Source organism: Homo sapiens, chromosome 3 (genome assembly GCF_000001405.40).
Source record: "Homo sapiens chromosome 3, GRCh38.p14 Primary Assembly".
NCBI classification, from domain to species: domain Eukaryota; kingdom Metazoa; phylum Chordata; class Mammalia; order Primates; family Hominidae; genus Homo; species Homo sapiens.
Window position 1 is genome coordinate 150722726 of NC_000003.12, and position 18399 is coordinate 150741124.

The window sequence follows — 18399 nt, forward strand, 5'->3', positions numbered from 1 at the left end:
AAGCTGTTTCTCAATTTTTGCTTTTTTTAAAGAGCAGTCTGGTGAATATTCGTGTAGCTAAGTGTAAGCCCACATTCTTTATTAGTGTCTTAGGATAAATTCCCAGAGGCAGAATTTCTGGGTGATGGGTAATTTACATTGTCACCAACAGTGACAGTGCCCTTGATCAGATGAAGAGTTTTAATTAAACGTCACACCAGAACTCCATAATCTTGTCTCAGTCATGTCATCGCTGCTCAAAACATTTGGTGAACTCTGTTTGGTGATCCAGGCTATGACTCATATAAGAAAATAAATCTTAATCTCTCATCTTGCCTTTGATCTTTGACTGTTCAAGAAAATCTAATTTACCACAAAAGGACAAAGACAGCAACCATGGCAGATTTTCATATAGGTGTGCCACCAGAGTCAGGAGGAGATAGGGAAATGCTTCCCAGACTGTTCTGAATAGTGGCAAATCAGAGAATAATTCCTCTAAGTCTTTTTGGAAATTAGAATGGAACTTCCCTATCATCTGAAGACTCCTTATGGATTGAACAAGGAGGGCCCTCTTGACTGGTTTGTCTTTCTTTCTTTTTCTTTCTTTCTCTTTCTTTCTTTCTTTCTTTCTTTCTTTCTTTCTTTCTTTCTTTCTTTCTTTCTTTCTTTCTTTCTTTCCTTCTCTCCTTCCTTCTTTCCTTCCTTCCTTTCTTCCTTCCTTCCTTCCTATCTTCTTTCTCTTTCTCTCTCTCTCTCCCCCTGCTTCCTTTTCTTTTCTTTTCTCTTCTCTTTTTTCTTTCTCTTTTCTTTTCTTTCCAGGGTCTATGCTATGCTGCCTAGGCTGGTCTCAAATTTCTGGACTCAAGCAATCCTCCTGCCTTGGTTTCCCAAAGTGCTAGGATTACAGGCATGAGCCACCTTGACTGGTTTCTTCCTTAAAGGTTCCTAAGCTTCGCCTTTTTTTTTTTTATCTTAAAGATGGACACAGAGATCTAAACATTAAAACAATTTATTTATTGGAGTTTCCTCATAGAAGGGTAAGAGAGACAGTTGCACCTGACTGGGTGCTTAGTATTTCTATAGAGTGGCTTAAGCATGGCAACTGATTAATGAGAGGAGCAGGAGGTGACTTGCATTGTTTTTACTAAGATAATATTTTGTTTTGTTTTGTTTTGTTTTTTTTGGAGAATGGCAGATTGGGTTTATTGAGGGAGGCGACTGAAAGGAACTCAAATCACCCCCTTGGTACTGCTATTTATATTACTGCATTGTGTGGAAATCCTTAGTGGCAAATAAAGCTTTGGGCTGATGTTTAAGGCCCTCTACAATATAATCTTAACGCGACTTTTCTAGCTTTAACTTCGCCTACTCTTACACAGACCTGAATGGATGCTGCACATCCTGTTGGCCCAGCTGCAACTTCAGCCACTGCTGTAGCAACCAGTTTTGTGCAGGTGTGGCTGATGGCTCTGGCTTTGGCTGCCTGACGTTTCCTGGATCCTGCAGCGTGGCACAGGACACATTTGCCTCCTGGTTGCCTTCTGGACTTGCAGGGTACTTACCGTGATAGGGGGTACCCTTTGATGAGCTGGGGATGGGAACTGGAGGGTGAAGACCTCCCTCTTCTCTCTCTCAGTGGACAATTCTGAGGTCCTTCTACACAGTGCCTCAGAAGCCCCTAGCGGGATTGAGCCTCAGTTACCTAAGGCAGTGACCGGCGGATAATGCACCTGTGCTGGCTTTCTTTCCTCCCCTACTCCCCTCTTCAGTCCTTCAGTCTGTTGCCTGGAATCACTTTCCTAAATAAATGTCTTTTTTTTTTTTTTTTTTTTTTTTTTTTAGAGGGAGCCTCGCTCTGTTGCCCAGGCTGGAGTGCAGTGGTGTGATCTCGGCTCCCTGCAACCTCTGCCTCCTGGGTTCAAGCGATTCTCCTGCCTCAGCCTCCTGAGTAGCTGGGATTACAGGCACATGTCACCTCGCCTGGCTAATTTTTGTATTTTTAGTAGAGATGGGGGTTTCACCATGTAGTATACACCATAAGAATGTGTATAACTTTGCCAGGCTGGTCTCGAGCTCCTGACCTCAGGTGATCTGCCCACCTTGGCCTCTGAAAGTGCTGGGATTACAGGTGAGAGCCACCATGCCCAGCATTTCCTAAATAAACTTCATATAAGCTTTGTCTCAGGCTCTGCTTGCTTTGGGGAAACAACAGTCACCACCCTATTTGCTGTTTTTTGATGATGTTCCTTGCTCTTCATCTATTCAGTTCTTTAATACTTGCCTGGGGAACATCTAGTGTGCTCCTGGTCTGGGAAAGGGCCCTAAAATATAAAACGGAATCAGTCACAGGCCTTGCTCTTGAGGAGTTCTTGGTTTAAGAGAGAGAGAGAACAGACAGCTTAAAAAAAAAAAAAGTCAGTGTATCACAAGGTGAATGCTGTTCCAGAGAACCAGGAAGGAAGAACACAGGAGACAGGACAGCTGATCTGGCTTGGGGTATCTGAGGAGGTTTTCTCAGGAGCGTCTTTTAAAGGATGAACAGGAAGTAGTTTACAGGAACAAGGTGGGAAAAGACCTTCTGGGCTGAGAGACTAGTCTGGGCAGAGACACAGAGTCGTGAAAGAACTCGGTATGTTTGTGAACTGTGGGAAGTTCAGGGAGACTGGAGCGGAGGGTGCCTTAGGAATGTGCTATAGAGGAGTCTGTCAAGACCTGGGTGCCTGCTACACTCCGAGAGGTCAGCGAACGGGCCCTCACTGGCTTCTTTTGCGTTGATGGCCTGGTCTGTATTTCTGCACTAGGTGGCCCTCTCATTGTCGCCATGACTGCTGGCCAGTGGACACCTGCAGGAATGGACTTGGGGTAGGCCTGAGGCCCCAGTCTGCTGGGGTGCTCCTGGGAAACTGAGTCTCGCCTCGCCTAGTCTCATGGTAATGTGCAAGGGTTGTTTTGCATCAGCTTCTTGCCACTGGGGCGAGCCAGCAAGCAGCCAGAGCTTCCAGCACAGCCGGAAGGGGCTGGGAGGGTGTATCCACTTCCCCACCCACTAGAAGAATGTGTCTACCTTTGCCTGGGAGCAGGCTGTGCAATCTCCTGCTCGTGTGTGTCTCTGTTTACTTTGCCATGAAACAATCCTGTGTGGGTCTGCTGGTGTCTTCCCTCCCATTGACCCCTATATCTCGTCGGGTAACCATGCATCTCCTGACTCAGGGAAAAGACAGTGACTTTTTAAATATTTATTAATTAATTAATTAATTTTTTTTTTTTTTTAGAGACAGGTTCTTGCTCTGTCACCCAGGCTGGAAGTTCAGTGGCATGATCATAGCTCACCGCAGCCTTGGACTCCTGGACACAGTGATCCTTCCACCTCCTGAGTAGCTGGGACTATAGGCACACACCACTATGCCCAGTTACTTTTGTTTTGTAGAGACAGGGTCTCGCTATATTGCCCAGGCTGGTCTTGAACTCCTGGCCTCAAGTGATCCCTGCCTCAGCCTCCCAAAATGTTGGGATGACAGGTGGGAGCCACTGCACCCTGCTGAGACCAGTGACTTTTAAAGTCGACTAGTGGCTGTCCGAATCAAGTGGTCCCCTCTTTGGCAGTAGTTGGTAAGGAGTAGAAATCAAAGGATACACAGAGAAGATGCTAGGCAGAAGTAGTGAGGATTGGAGGAGAGCAGAGAGAAGCAGGGTGCTGGCAGCAGGAGAAGCAGACTGAATGTGGCTGAGTAACACCGATGTGCCAACACCAGCGGCTAGGAGATAGTGAGGCTTCAGACCCCAGTGGGGCCTGGTGAGATTTCCATTTCTGAACTACACTCCAGAGTGCCAGAAACCTGCTGGTGTGGCTGGTCCTGTGCTCCAGGAAGTGAAAATAGACACGCACTTTCCTATTCCTGTACATATCCTAACACGGAGTAGCGTCAGCAGAGACACTGCCTGGCCATGCTACTTCCCACCATGTAAACTTGAGTAAGTAACTGAGCACTCTTTCTCAGGTTCCTCACTTGTAAACTGGGCTGTTACTGGTGTCTGCTTCATAGGGTTGTTTTGATGCTTGAATGAGTTAATGGGCATAAGATGTGGAGAAGGGCCTGCTGGTGCATATGAAGTACTCAGTAAGCAGGTAGCGGTCTGGGTCTGGGCAGGACACCCAAATTGGGTAACTGAGGAGAGGCTGAGAGACTATTTACAAAAGTATAGGTCAGATGAAGGGACAAAGGATGGTGGAACACCATGGGCTATAACTGGCTGAGAAGTCTTTAGTACTCCTAGGCCTGATGAGGCGAAGGGAGGAAGTAGTTATCAGACACCCAGCAGCCTCAAAACAGGGTGACAGGGCAGGAACTGTGGGGGTCTGGACAAGAGTGCAGCTGGGCCAACCTGGCCCTACAGGGCAGGAGTGGAAAGCATGCATACTCTTAAGACTTCTCCCTAACTCTGATCTCCTGCCCATGATACCCAAAGGCCAATCTGATTGGAGGCCAAAGGATGAGGCTGTTAGGTGGTTACAAAACGCAGTGGTCAGCCTGCCAGGCCCAGAGCAGTTGGTGAGGCATGGAGCAGGGATCTAGGAGCCACTGCAGCCTCTCTAGCACAAATGTCGCCAGTGTTGGCTGCAGTATTGTTATTACAATAGAGGCCTTTCACTTGAGGCCTTGACCGAGTTGCCATTCCTTGCAAACAAAAGAGCCTTACAGAGGCCGGGCACGGTGGCTCATGCCCGAAATCCCAGCTCTTTTGGAGGCCGAGGTGGGTGGATCACATGAGGTCAGGAGTTCGAGACCAGCCTGGCCAACATGGTGAGACCTCGTCTGTACTAAAAATACAAAAATTAGCCAGGCGTTGTCGCAGGCACCTGTAATCCCAGCTACTAGGGAAGCTGAGGCAGGAGAATCACTTGAACCCAGGAGGCGGAGGTTGCAGTGAGCTAATGCCACTGCACTCCAGCGTGGGCGACAAGAGCAAGGCTTCATCACCCCCCCGCCCCGAAAAAAAAAAGACTAACAGAGAAGAGCAACGGGAGCTCTGCAGGGAGACCTAGGGGACCACGCCATTCCCGTGGTCATCATCAGGTACTCTGTTTACCAGCTCTACTCTGTTTACCAGTCTCCCGCACTAGCTGGGAAAAGCTCTCTGGGGCAGGGCAGAAGTCTTTTCCTCTTTATAACCAGAGTGTCCAGCAGAACCAGGGACTTGTCACTGAGGGCTCTGTTGAGGTTTAAGGAACCCCTAAGAACCTGCTGCTCCAGCAGATAGGAGAGGGAAGCACTTAGGGCCTTAGGGGAGAACGCTGAGTCAGGGAACAGTGTGTGCTGCTGTTGCGTGTGTGTGCTTGTGAACATTCACATTTTATACACGTCAGAGAGAAAGTTGAAGGCATTGCCTGTTTTGGGCTGAGGAGGCCAGGCCCCAGATGAGGCTTCTCCCTGGAGCCCCTCTTTTGTCAGCTCCCATTTGTGCCAGGCCCTGGGCTTCCCTGGATCTCACAACTCATTGCAACCCTGTGGAGTTGGCAGCGTGCCTGTTTTATGGACAAGGACGCTGAGGCCAATGAATTCACAAAGGTAGCGGTAATTAGAAGTGTCTGAATTTGAGCCCAGATATGGCTTGAAAGCCTGAGTTCTTTTATTTTTTGAGGGGAAGTCTTGCTCTGTCGCCCAGGCTGGAGTACAGTGGCATGTTCTCGGCTCACTGCAACCTCCGCCTCCTGGGTTCAAGCAATTCTCCTGCCTCAGCGTCCTGGGTAGCTGGGATTACAGGTGCCTGCCACCACGCCCAGCTAATTTTTGTATTTTTAGTAGAGATGGGGTTTTGCCATGTTGGTCAGGCTGGTCTCAAACTCCTGACCTCAAGTGATCTGCCCACCTCTGCCTCCCAAAGTGTTGGGATTACAGGCGTGAGCCACCGTGCCTAGCCAGCCTGAGTTCTTAATCATTGAGCTAGTGTTTCCCAGTGGAGATACTGCAGGTCATCATTTGAATTTTTGTCACTTCTGTGTATTTCCTGTTTATCATTTACTTAACATTTTTCTCGAAATTGTCTTTTTTGGTACTTTAAACAAGTTTACTTGAAAAGGAAACTGTATCACTACCATAAATGGAGAGCTAGAATCACCTACTGTAAATAGAAGGTATCATAAATATAAACACAAAGGAATTCTTGGTCTCCAGCGTGGCCAACTCCAAATTCTAGAGCAGAATGATTTTGAAGTAACTCCATTCCTTTTAATTGCTTCGTTGCCTTGAGAGGCCTCTCTCTCCTCTATCTGTCTGGGCTCTAAGATGTGTAAAATTGGATTTGATCAGATTGTAGCCAGAGGTGTGCTGGTAAATGTTTAACAACTGGTGCTCCAGAAATTAAATTTTTTTTTAACACATGCAAGTGTCAGATAAATCTTACTGATATAAAGGAATTGTAGCACCCAATGTACAAATAATAAGAAATTATACAGTATTCTAAACTGTAAATTCCATATAGCTTATTGATTCCCTCAGAATGTTTTCATTGCTTTTTGCTGAACCGTTGTATCTGAACCTTGTATTTTGCTGAACCCTTGGCATATATTGTATGCCAACCTGTGGTTGATATTGACAAACAAGCAATTATGACATAAATGCTGGTTGGTACCAGTAAGATTAAAATGAAGAAGCCTTAACTTTCAGATGTTTGTCAAAATTTCACTGGTTCATCAGTGTCATCAATGATGTGAGTGACTTCTTTATTGATTTGGGCAGTAGTTTTTGACTGCTAGAAAAATATTTCTTCAACTTTTTTTTCTATTTGCAATGTAATGGTTCCAAGTATGACATAATTCTAAGTTAAAGCTCTATTATTAACATTTTCGTCATCATTTTCTTAAGTCTAGACAACAACTAATAAATCAAGCCCCAATTTGTTGCTTTTGCCACTTTCTAAGTACTAAATACTGCTACTGTTAAATATATACTGTTAAATATAATACTGTTAAATATAACTTATTTAATTATAAATCTAGAATTTAATTTTTAATAATAGCTGTGTTTATCAACTGGCTCTCAAGATTCCTAAACATTTGACTGTTGCAAGTTGGTATGTGCCGGCTCCTGTGTGCCACTGATTATGGCCCTTATCTTGAAACCAGGCAAGCTGCATATGTTCCCCTTGTGGAGTCACCATCCAGAATAATTTCTACTCTTTTTAGACATGAACACGCCGCTGTGCTCTGCTCCAATAAAATAGCAAAGTTTTTCTCTCCTCGCACTTTCTCACCTCAGCTCCTACTTTCCTTCCCCGGACTCCGCTCCCTGGATATTCCTTGAACACACGAGACATGCACACCTCAGGGCCTTTGGACTTGTTATTTCCCCTGCCTAGAATGTTTTTCCTCCAATTAGCTGCATGTTTCATTCCCTCACCTCCGTCAAGCATTTGCTCAAATATCACTCTGTTTATAACTGCGATCCCTCCTCTCCCCTACTCCCCTACTGACCATCCCTTCTACCTGCTTTATTTTTCTCCATAGCATTGACTATCTTCAATGTATTATACTGTATAAAATCTTTGCATATATTTTGTTTATTGCCTTCTTCTCTCCATGACAATGTAAGCAACACAAAGGCTAGAGGTTTTTTGCTTGTTTGTTTTATTTTGTTTTGAAGACAGGGTCTCACTCTGTCACCCAGGCTGGAGTTGCAGTGGTGAAATCTCAGCTCATTGCAACCTCCACCTCCTGGGTTCAAGCAATTCTTGTGCCTCAGCCTCCTGAGTAGCTGGGACTACAGGCTTGTACCACCACGCTTGGCTAATTTTTTTTTGTAGTTTTAGTTGAGACTGGGTTTCACCATGTTGGCCAGTCTGGTCTCAAACTCCTGGCTTCAAGTGACCTGCCAGCCTTGGCCTGCCAGAATGCTGTGATTACAGGTATGAGCCACCATGCCCAGCCAAGGGCTAGAGTTTTTGTACATTTTGCTGGATCCTTTGTGTATGGAACAGTACCTGGCATAGTGTAGGGAAGCAGTATGTATATATGTGTGTTGGATAAATGAATGAATATATAATATGTAATATATAATAGAAACATTCTTACATTGCCTCTGATGAAATGCTTATGTCTCTTTTAATCTATAGATTCTCCTTCTATCTCTTTTGCTTTCTTGAAATTATTTATTGAAGAACCCAGGTTCCCCATAGCAGAGTTTCCTATAGTCTCATTGCAGCCCAAGAATATAATCTGCTCAGATTCAGATTTGATTTTCCTTTTTACAAGACTGCTTCAAACCAACCAGGGAACTATTGGGGAAAAAACCCTGATGGCTTCATAGTTGATGGTGGTGATGGGTACATCTATAACACAAAGGACAGTGTCTGTCTGTCATGTAAATTTTTATATATATATACACACACACACACATGCATGAGGCAGGGATCCAACTTCATTCTTTTGCATGTGAATATCCAGTTGTCCCATTTGTTGAAACAATTATTCTTTCTCCATTGAATTATCTTGACACTCTTGTCTAAAAAAGGGAAGATTTTAAATTAGATTTGTGTGACCAGATTTGCTTCTTTCATAACTTATTTTGGTGGAAACATTGAGAATTCTAGTCAACATCTATTCAGCTCCAGGGTAGAAAATCCATTCAAACTGGCTCAAGTTTGAATAACGGGGGCTCCTACTGCCTAGACTGTGGTCTTGAATCATTGTTTCACACTAAAGAAATCAAGGTTCCTTGAAGACATCGTTGATTACATGTTGAGTGCAGGAAAAGAACAAGATGAGCCTGGAACATCAGAGGCTATTTGTGATCATGTCAAAAGCACTCAGGAACCAAGCTGAATATGCATTTGTCAGGCCAAGATGGAATGATATGAGTATCAACAAGGATAATAATGGCAATGAATTGAAATACATAAAAAAGTTAAAATCCATGAATTCATAATGATATTCTTTTTTTTAAGAGACATAATGATTTTTAGTTTTTGAGACAGGGTCTTGCTCTGTCATCCAGGCTGGAGTGCAGTGGTGTGATCTCGGCTCACTGCAACCTCTGTCTCCCAGGTTCAAATGATTCTCCTGCCTCAGCCTCCCAAGTAGCTGGGACTACAGGCATGCACCACCACACCTGGCTAACTTTTGTATTTTTAGTGGAGACGAGGTTTCACCATTTTGGCCAGGCTGGTCTCGAACTCCTGACCTCAGATGATCTGCCTGCCTTGGCCTCCCAAAGTGCTGGGATTACAGGCATGAGCCACCATGCCTGGCCTGCCTGATATATTTTTAAAATGTTACTTCATTGGTTTTATTTTTGGAGGATGCTAGAAAACTACCTCATTGTTTTGAAAACTGATAAAGGAAAATAATCAGGCATTTATGTTATCTTTCCCTTGTAAAATGTACCTTACGGTAAACCAATAGTTGAAAAGAGGAAGTTTGTCACTATAGAAGTTTTCCAGTTCATAAAAAAGGAATGATTTGAAAGATCATTCTGTAATGCCTCACAAGTGAATATGAGCCATCAATGGCCGATAATATCACTAAAAGAGACAGACAGAGTTAGAGGAAGAGAGCAACAGCCATTGTCCTTTGTGTTATAGACATACACATCACTACCATCACCTATGAAGCAGTCTTCTTTTTTTTCCTCCCCAACAGTTCCCTGGTTGGTTTGAAGCAGTCTTATAAAAAGAAAAATCAAATCTGAATCTGATAAAATGATATTCTGGGGTTGCAATGAGACTATAGGAAACTCTGCTATAGGAACCCTGGGTTTTTCAATAAATAACTTCAAGAAAGGAGAAGAGATGGAGGGAGAATCTGTAGATTAAAAAAGACATAAGCATTTTATCAGTAGCAATGTAAGGATCTTATATATGTATCCCAGTTCAAACAGACTGTATATCAACCAGAGAAATGTGACCTCTGACTGGATATTTGATTATATTAAAATTTATAATTTTTATAGATATAAAAACAGTATTGTGAGTATGTTTCAAAGTCCTAATCTTTAGATATTCTATACTGAAACATATACAGATGAAATGATATGATGCCTGGGATTTGATTCAAAGAAATCCACACGTGGATGTAGGTGAGGGTATAGATGCAGGACAGCTGGCCAAGAGTTGATAATGGTTGAAGTTGGTGATAACACATCGAATTCGTTATATTATTCTCCTTCCTTTTGAAAATTTACTAATAAAATGTTTTTTTAAAAGTTATACATCTTGGCTGGGTGCAGTGGTTCACGCCTGTAATCTCAGCAGTTTGGGAGGCTGAGGCGGGTGGATTGCTTGAGGTCAGGAGTTCAAGATCACCCTGGCCAACATGGTGAAACCCTGTATTTACTAAAAATACAAAAATTAGCCGGGCATGGTGGCAGGTGCCTGTAATTCCAGCTACTCGGAGGCTGAGGCAGGAGAATCGCTTGAACCCGGGAGGCGGAGGTTGCAGTGAGCTAAGATGGCACCACTGCACCCCAGCCTGGGCAACAGAGAGAGACTCCATCTCAAAAAAAAAAAAAAAGTTATACATCTTGACAGCAATAATCATAAAATTAAGCAAAATTAGAAGGAGGGAGAAACTTTGTGTGTTACTTTCTTCAATTTTGGTGGTGGGAGTGAATAAATATGGTCTAAAATTGAAAAAAAAAGTGATAAGAAGAATTAATTGTGAAGGCACAGCAGGCTGTCTCCAAGATGCCTCAAAGCAGGAAATGGAGTGTTTCTGGGCTCCCTGGGGAGGGATTAGGACCTGGCAGGGTGGGCGGCAGTGGCTGCTCCCTCCACCCCTAGGGGCCTCTTGCTATCAAGGCTTTTCCTTTGCTAGTGTGCTGACTTTCCAGGGCTGTGTGACTCTGGTGCACACCACTGACTGTCTTTGACTCTCTCAAGAGAATCTGACTGGTGGCTGCTCAGCCAATGAACCGCTGGCCTGGGTAAGGTCTTATCAGCTGTGGCCTGCATTACAAGTTTGTGGGTGTGTGAATTAGTGGGGGGTTTGCATGGGGTGTTCCAGGAACTATGGGCAGGGCAAATTCTCTAGAAGAAGTAGTTTTTATTGTGGACAGGGTTCGTCCTGAAATTTAGCTAGTATGAGGATGGGTTAAAGGATAGATTAGAATTAGGGACCAGACAAGACACTGCTGAACTTTGATATTCACTCGGCACGTTCTACGTGTCTGACCTTGTGTGGGTGTCAGGAACGCGGGAACAAAGGAAGTGTGAGAGAAGAATAGCCCTGAGAAGTGGATGGGAGGTGGACAAGGCTGGACTTAGGCATTGAGTGGTTTGGTCTTGATCCAGGAGAGGCTGATCTCTTGGCACATCCTCCTAACTACCTCAGCCTTGCAAAAACCTACCCAACACCCAAGGCCCAATGCACGCGCTGCTTTCTCCCGGAAGCCTTTTCCAATCCTCTTTTGAACTCCATAGCAATTTGTACGTCCTTGTCTTAACTTGCTTTGCAAACATAGTTGATGTAGTTGTGGTTGCATATTTCATGCTACTGTAAGTTGCCTCTTTGTTTGATGCTTTCAGACTTCTGCTAGACTGTAAAGTCCATATCTGAGTCACTTTTGCAGGCAGCAGGGCTGTTGGAAGGGCTACATTCCTGAGTGTAAATCCCATTTTCACTGCTTACAAGCTGTGTGACTTTGGGCAAGTTACTTAGCCTCTCTGAGCCCCCACCTTCTTGTTTGTTAATGGGAGTGATAATACCCACCTCAAGGTGTTTTGTTTTGAAAATTAAACCATATCAAGGATATAAAGTACAGGACCAAGCACAGGGCAGTTGATTGGTGTGTATTGAATTGAGGAGGAATAACTCGGATCTTGAGGGATGAGCAGCATTAGCATAGTGGGCGAGATAAGGGAAAGGGAAGGGCATGCTCCAAGCTGTTCTCTTCAGTCCCTCCAGGGGAGGGGGCAGCGTGCGGGGCCACACTCTGGACAGGGCAGCTACTCCTCACATTGTCAGCAGAAGCCACTGCAGTTCTAGGACTCAGGCAGCCACACTCTTGTCCAGTGTAATGGAAACTGCCTTCTGAGCTGCATGCACCCTTACTTGATATCAATGTACCAGGGACTCGGATCTGTAACTAGAACAGCACTTACAGCTTGTCTCTCAGGGAAATGGTGTTGGATGGTCCTCAGGAATATTTCTTCCAGGTTTTCATGGAACCTAGAAAAACACCACAGCTTGCTAAGGTGTAAACCTCTCAGATGCCTGGGATGTTCTAGACTGAGCTGCAGCCAGTGCCTTTCTCCTGTTCAGGGCTGGATATGCACAGACGCCCTCACCAGGGCCTTCTAAACATAATTTGCTTCAACCCTTGCTTGTTGGCACAATTTTTTTCCCACCTCTCTCTATTTCAATAATGGCTGCTTCCTGACCATCTCTACTGCATAAGTAAGTAATCTGCCCTGGAAACTTGTCTTTCTGATTACTTTGCCCCCGCTGTGATTGCCTCCTTCTCCACATCATCCATTTCGCTCTCTCTTTTGGATCCTTCCCATTGGCACAGTGCCATGCTCTAGTGGCTCCAATTTTTAAAACACAAAAAAATCTTTCATTGATCCCACTATTCTCCTGCAGCAACTGCTTCATTTCTCTACGTCTTCTCTGCGGAACTTCTTAAAAGCCTTGTCTATAGCAACTTGTCTATAGCTCTATAGCTATAGCTCCTGCCTCCTCTCCTCACCCATGCCCTGTTCTCTCCCTCACCTGCTCTCCTCTGGGCTTCTGTCTTCTCCACTCCATGAGACTGCTCTTGACATCTTGCCATGACCTCGATTGTCTTCTCAGTGGCTAACTCCTCTGTTCTACTTGAGCCAGATTTTTTTCCTGGGGTTCTGTGATGCCGTACTGTCTAGGAGTTCCCCTCATCTTGATGGCCACTTCTTCTATCCACCCTCATTTCCAGGCTCTGGCTCCTCATGTGACCTCTAAAAGGTTGGCAGTCCCAGGAGATAGGCCTGAGTCCCACCCTCTTTTCTGCCTGTATGCACCTCCCTCCATTGCCCAAACCCCGGGGTCTTCTCACTTCCACCCCACAGCTTAAACACCATACATATAGTGATGGTGCACACATTTTGGTATTTCCATCCTGGCCTTTCCTCAGAGCTCCAAGCTCATACAAACAACTGTCTGGTTGATGTCTTCAGCCATGTGTCTCTCTAGATTTCTGCCCTATGCTGGCTCCTTCACTAGTCTCTGCCCCAATACATGGAACTTCTTACCCATTTACTCAGGATGAGAGCCTAGGAGTGATCATCCTTGATTCTCTCTTTTCCTTATTCCTATAATCATCACCCCTCTCCCACCCATCCAACTTTTTAGCAACTCCTGTTAACTCTACCTTGAAAACATAGCCCAAATATGCCCATTTCTGTTAATCTCTACCTTTGCTCACTCTGTCCAAGCCATAATTATCTTTCACTGGGTGAAATGCAATAGCTTCCAAAATGCTTCCATTCCTGCCCTTTATAATCATTGTTTTTGTTGTTTTGTTTTGTTTTAATTGAACAGCTACAGCTCTTTTTAAAAACCCGAATCCCATCATCCATGCTCCTTGAAACTTTCCAGTGGCCTCCCATTGTACCTGGAAAGAAAGCCAGACCCCTAGCTGGCCTCACAGGGCAAGGCTCTAGCTCCTTACCTGCCTCACCTCAAAGCATTTTCCCTGCTGGTTCTGCCTCAGGCCTCTGCACTTGCTGTTCCTTTCTTGCTGCAATGCTTCCCTCCAGGTGGTTTTTACATTCACTTGCATTCCTCAGCCTTCCCTGGTTATTCAATCTACAGTATTGGCAGGTGACATCACTTGTCTCAGCGGCTGTATGAGAAATACAAGAGAAAATGAGGCAGTGAGGTTGGACTGGGTCAGAGGTTCTCAACCCTGACTGTGTGCTGGTCCCTTCTGGGAAGCTTTAAAAAGCACACAGAAGCTCAGCCTTACTGCCAAGAATTCTAACTTAGGTCCTGGCATTCTTTAAAGTTCCCCACATGATTCCAAAGGACGTGTGGGGTGATAACCTTTGATCCAACCAGTGCTTCCCAAACTTGAACATGCATCCACATCACCTGCATACTGTGTTAAAATGCGGATTCTGGTCAGGAGGTCTGGGGTGGAGGCTGAGATGCTGCATTTCTGACAAGTTCCCAGGTGATGCTGATGCCGCTGGTGCACGGACCACACTTTAACTAGTGAGGGTCTGAACGATTTCTAGGTCTCCATCCCCTTCTAGCATGCCATGACAGTGGGGAAGGCAGTTCCAAAGCACAGGTGGTATGTTCTGTATTCACCAAGCATCCTGCACCCCTCCATCTTGTTCATCTTTATCTGTTACAAGTAAGCAATATTTCTGCTGATGGTCAAAATATGTGAAAGCCAAATAAGAATAATGATGGATCACGTGATATGGTGAAGGGGCATGGACTCCACGATGGGTTCATATTCCAATTCTGTTTCTTACCAGCTGTGTGAGTGTAGGCAAATTACTTAATCTCTCTGAGCCTTCATTTCCTCGACTCCAAAATGGGGATAATAAACACTGCTTATTTTATTGAGAGGATTAAATGGGTTAATACAGACAAAGCACTTTGCACACGATAGGTACCTAATGGATGGCAACTGCTGTGATCTTGGTGTACTTTGCAAATTGATCTAATCTTGTAATCCAATTGCTGCAGGTCACAGGAACCTTGATCTGTGCTTGCTGCAAGGATCATCAAACATAGAGCGGAGTCGGCCTTTGATCTGAATGTCAGGTGACTCCATGACATAAGAAATTTCAAGGCACAGAAACTTCAAACCAGCCTTAGTGACCTTGCCTGGAGGATGACAGGGGCAGAGAAACCCTTTGTTTCTTCCCTTCTCTGGATTGTTAGATTATCTCCCCATCTCTGTTCCCTGCCTACTTGCGTAATTTCCCCAGGGACTTTTGGTACAAAACCAGAAAACCTTAACTCTTAAAGTGTTGACTTCAATGCTGCTCTCACACTAGCCTGTTAGTAGTTATTTATTCATTCAGATATTAATTGGGTGCCTAGGTGCCAGGGACTTCATTGTCTCTATTACCCTGCAGGTTGTCAAGGGGAGGCAGGCGCTGAACAATAAAAAAAAATATGTAATCACAATTGTGGTGCCATGAAGGAAAAGAAATAGGGTGCACCGCAAGAGAATATTGAAGAGCTGTGATGCCAATGATTTTCATGTCAAAAGAGCCTCTGCCTATGTGTAGAATACATTGGAGCAGGCAGGAAGAAGGAGGACAAACAGTTAGGAGCCCCAACAGTGGTCCTGGCCCAGATGGTGGCAATGGAAATGGGGAATCAAGACTGGGAGCCACTTCCCTTAGTCATGGTAAAATGTTGGCTTGTACTTTAAGCTGTTTTGTAATTTTTTCCCTTTTACTCAATACAGAAGACACCATGTCATCATCACAGAAAATTCTAATCAGCAGTGTGGTTTGGGGCCAGTGTGTTTCCCTCTGTAGGTCTTACTTGTTTATTCTGTAAAATGGTAGTGGTGGTGGGTGTTGGTGTCAATGGGATCAAGGTTCTTTCTGCTTGTCATTTGAAGACTCCAAGACACATTAACGGTATTCACAAATAAGAGATTTTAAGCTTCAAATTAGAAGAAGGTTTAACAATATGGGGAATTAGATTTCTCCCTTTAAGCACTCTTGCCTCCCTTTCACAGGTCAGTGAAATTATAATCATACTTTCAAGCACAGCCTGCATGAATCAGGAAGGTTCAAGGCCACAGGCCTCTCAAGCCAGAGCCACAAAGCAAAACTGGTCTCTCTACCCAGGCACCACCCCTAGCTCTAAACCATGGGAATCTGAGAGGTAGCTGGAGCATGACTCACCTGCCAACACTGATAGACAGACACATGCTGGGCCACAGTGATACCAGAACCACCTCGTACAAAGGCTGGCAGGAATGATTTACATACCTCAACCTAACATTGAATAGCTTGATTGTCTCACAGAAATTAGTACTAAAGTAAAAACGTTTAGAAAATAAACCTTCAAATGTTGCAGATTAGGAAACTTAAGACCAGAGATGTCAACTGACCAAGTTAAGGTCACATTGCTGGCTATTTGGCAAGCCCCAAGAACCTGAATGAAGTTAGATACAAGGAGAATTTCTTCAGGAAAATTACTTTGGGTGGTATTGTAAAGGAGTTGCTTGATGCTGCTAAAAAAGACACTCAGCCATTAGTTTGGATGTGTCAGTTGAGGCCGAGGTTCTAGTTGGCAGAGTTCCAAGATAGTTGATGCTTCGGTGCCTCTTCTCCGAAGTATTTCCCATAATCCCCTGGACAGTTCCCTCTAAGAACTCCACTGTCTCAATCCTTTAAGTCTTCTGGATTCAGGGAAACCAAGACCAGTTCCTCCTTACAAGAACGCTGGGAACCCCTAATCTCAAGGTTGGTTGGTTTTTTGAAAAAAATTAAAAACGTAGAACAATGCAATTAATAATATACCATATACCCAGGTTCTAGGCACCCAGAATTAATGACTGTTAACATTTTCTCCCAAGGTATTTTGAGAACCCTTTTTTCTTTAGAATGACTCATGCGTCATAAGACACAGGCTTAATCTACCATCGTTTAATCGCCAGATTACCAAATTAGAATATTGAACTAGGACAGGAAAGATAAAATATTCTTATTTTATTTTTTAAAATATGGTACTTAAGTGGACCACGTGATGAGTTTTGACAAATGCCTATCATTACTTTTCTTTTTTTTTCTCACTTTTTTTAAAAGCAACAAGTCAAGGAATATACTCATCATGTTTTAAATTGCATTTGCAATTGGAACTGCATAAAAAGGCATTTTAATTTACATAATCTTTTTCTGCTGTTTTCACTTCCTGTTAAAACGGAATAACCTGGGGATTTTTATTTTCTGGTAGAAAATGCACAGTTTCAAGAAAGTCAAGAGTAAAGGTTAAGTTTACAGATTTCCAGTGACAGAGATGAAAGGGAACTACGTAACTCTGGAAAATAAAAGTTCAGAGTTGCGTTGCTTACAACTTTTTCATTTGTTAAGTTCTAGGAGCAAGTTTGAATGGGGAATCAAGAAGCCTGAATTATAGAACCAGTGCTGCCAGTAATGCACTGTGTGGCTGCTGGCCCATCACTTTACCTTTTTGGGCTAAAACTCTTTTTGTGCTTTTGGAATAACTTGTGTCCACTTTCTCCTTCTTTATGTCTTTTGTTTATAGGTTTGCGTTTTATGCACTGTTAACCAATCAGTCCTGATTCCTCTACCACACGTAGTAAGAGGGTAAGCCGTGGACATGAAGTGATGCTGCCAAGCTTGGCTAGTGTATGCACACTGCACCTTGCATGGGTGCCGTGAGGGCCCTGGAGGCCATATCTGGACTGGCTCTGGTCCTGAGGGTCAGAGTTCATCTGCTCCTGGATCCTAGTTTCACCTTCATAGGTTCCTCTGTATATGGACTTGAAATGTGACTTTCTTAGTGATAAGAGTTGTGGTTTTTATTCATTCACCACAGATGTTGTAAACCCCTACTTTTGTGTAGGGCACCGTTTTTCACTTTTACAGAAGAGGTTACTTTAGCAATTCTTTAAATGTCAGAGCCCTGTGCTGGCTAAAAACTCAACGCTGTATCTCACTTAAAAAACAAAATCAACTCCAAAGCCATCACCTCCATTTGGTAGTATGCTAATGAAATTGGGACACTGAGGGCTGGGTGTGGTGGCTCATGCCTTAATCCCAGCACTTTGGGAGGCCGAGGCAAGTGGATCACTTGAGGTCAGGAGTTCGAGACCAGTCTGGCCTCATCTCTACTAAAAATACAAAGATTAGCTGGGTGTGGTGGCATAGGCCTCTAGTCCCACTTACTTGGGAGGCTGAGGCAGGAGAATTGTTTGAACCTAGAGGCAGAGATTGCAGTGAGTGCCATTGCACTCCAGCCTCTGTCTCAAAAAAAAAAAAAAAAAAAAAGAAAGAAATTGGGACACTGAGGTAAGCAGCCTTCAATCCTTGCTGAGCATTTGGCCCTAATCCTCTAAATTCTTTTGAGAGTTTAGGGTTGGGACTGAGGGAGTGGGTCAGCTTGGATCAACGCCAGCACTCTGGATGTCAGCAGTGGCCAAGCGTCTTCCTTCTGACTCTGTAAAGCTGGAGCAATCCTCTTATTGCACAGGTACTGGCACTGTCAGATAGAAACGACAGCCCTGGGAGGAGACCTGCAGCACTGACAGTCAGTGGTTCAGACACATGAGCCCGGACCCCAGTGCTGTCATGGACCCGTGCCATGACCTTGGCCCAATGACTGTTTCCACAGTGGAAACAAACAGTGAAAGTTCCAACCCCAGATGTAGTGACGAAGGTTCATTGCACTTGCACACAGTAGATGCTCAATAAATACCCATTACTCAATTAGGGAAATGAAGCACAATA

General features: G+C 44.3%; 1 long non-coding RNA gene across 1 annotated transcript, besides 6 other annotated features; it reads right to left on the reverse strand.

The window, feature by feature from the left end:
* Nucleotides 2429-2930: an enhancer, noted in NCBI's record as "H3K4me1 hESC enhancer chr3:150442941-150443442 (GRCh37/hg19 assembly coordinates)". NCBI's record gives its function as "activates a minimal SCP1, AML or CMV promoter by ChIP-STARR-seq in primed H9 embryonic stem cells {active_cell/tissue: H9 hESC(primed)}" and the evidence as "EXISTENCE:reporter gene assay evidence [ECO:0000049][PMID:30033119]".
* Nucleotides 2931-3430: an enhancer, noted in NCBI's record as "H3K4me1 hESC enhancer chr3:150443443-150443942 (GRCh37/hg19 assembly coordinates)". NCBI's record gives its function as "activates a minimal SCP1, AML or CMV promoter by ChIP-STARR-seq in primed H9 embryonic stem cells {active_cell/tissue: H9 hESC(primed)}" and the evidence as "EXISTENCE:reporter gene assay evidence [ECO:0000049][PMID:30033119]".
* Nucleotides 4675-5174: an enhancer, noted in NCBI's record as "H3K4me1 hESC enhancer chr3:150445187-150445686 (GRCh37/hg19 assembly coordinates)". NCBI's record gives its function as "activates a minimal SCP1, AML or CMV promoter by ChIP-STARR-seq in naive H9 embryonic stem cells {active_cell/tissue: H9 hESC(naive)}" and the evidence as "EXISTENCE:reporter gene assay evidence [ECO:0000049][PMID:30033119]".
* Nucleotides 6940-7332: a transcriptional cis regulatory region, noted in NCBI's record as "candidate enhancer chr3.4443 targeted for multiplex CRISPR interference". NCBI's record gives its function as "positively regulates SIAH2 gene expression with high confidence in K562 cells {active_cell/tissue: K562}" and the evidence as "EXISTENCE:mutant phenotype evidence [ECO:0000015][PMID:30612741]".
* Nucleotides 10581-11272: a transcriptional cis regulatory region, noted in NCBI's record as "candidate enhancer chr3.4444 targeted for multiplex CRISPR interference". NCBI's record gives its function as "positively regulates SIAH2 gene expression with high confidence in K562 cells {active_cell/tissue: K562}" and the evidence as "EXISTENCE:mutant phenotype evidence [ECO:0000015][PMID:30612741]".
* On the reverse strand, nt 11746-16260 carry LOC101928105 (uncharacterized). Its single transcript, NR_121657.1, has 3 exons — nt 16126-16260; nt 13617-13790; nt 11746-12139 (listed from the first exon to the last, which is right to left on the reverse strand). It is a non-coding gene; the product is annotated as an uncharacterized LOC101928105 (long non-coding RNA).
* Nucleotides 18142-18221: a silencer, noted in NCBI's record as "silent region_14817". NCBI's record gives its function as "represses an Ori minimal core promoter by ATAC-STARR-seq in GM12878 lymphoblastoid cells {active_cell/tissue: GM12878}" and the evidence as "EXISTENCE:reporter gene assay evidence [ECO:0000049][PMID:35858748]".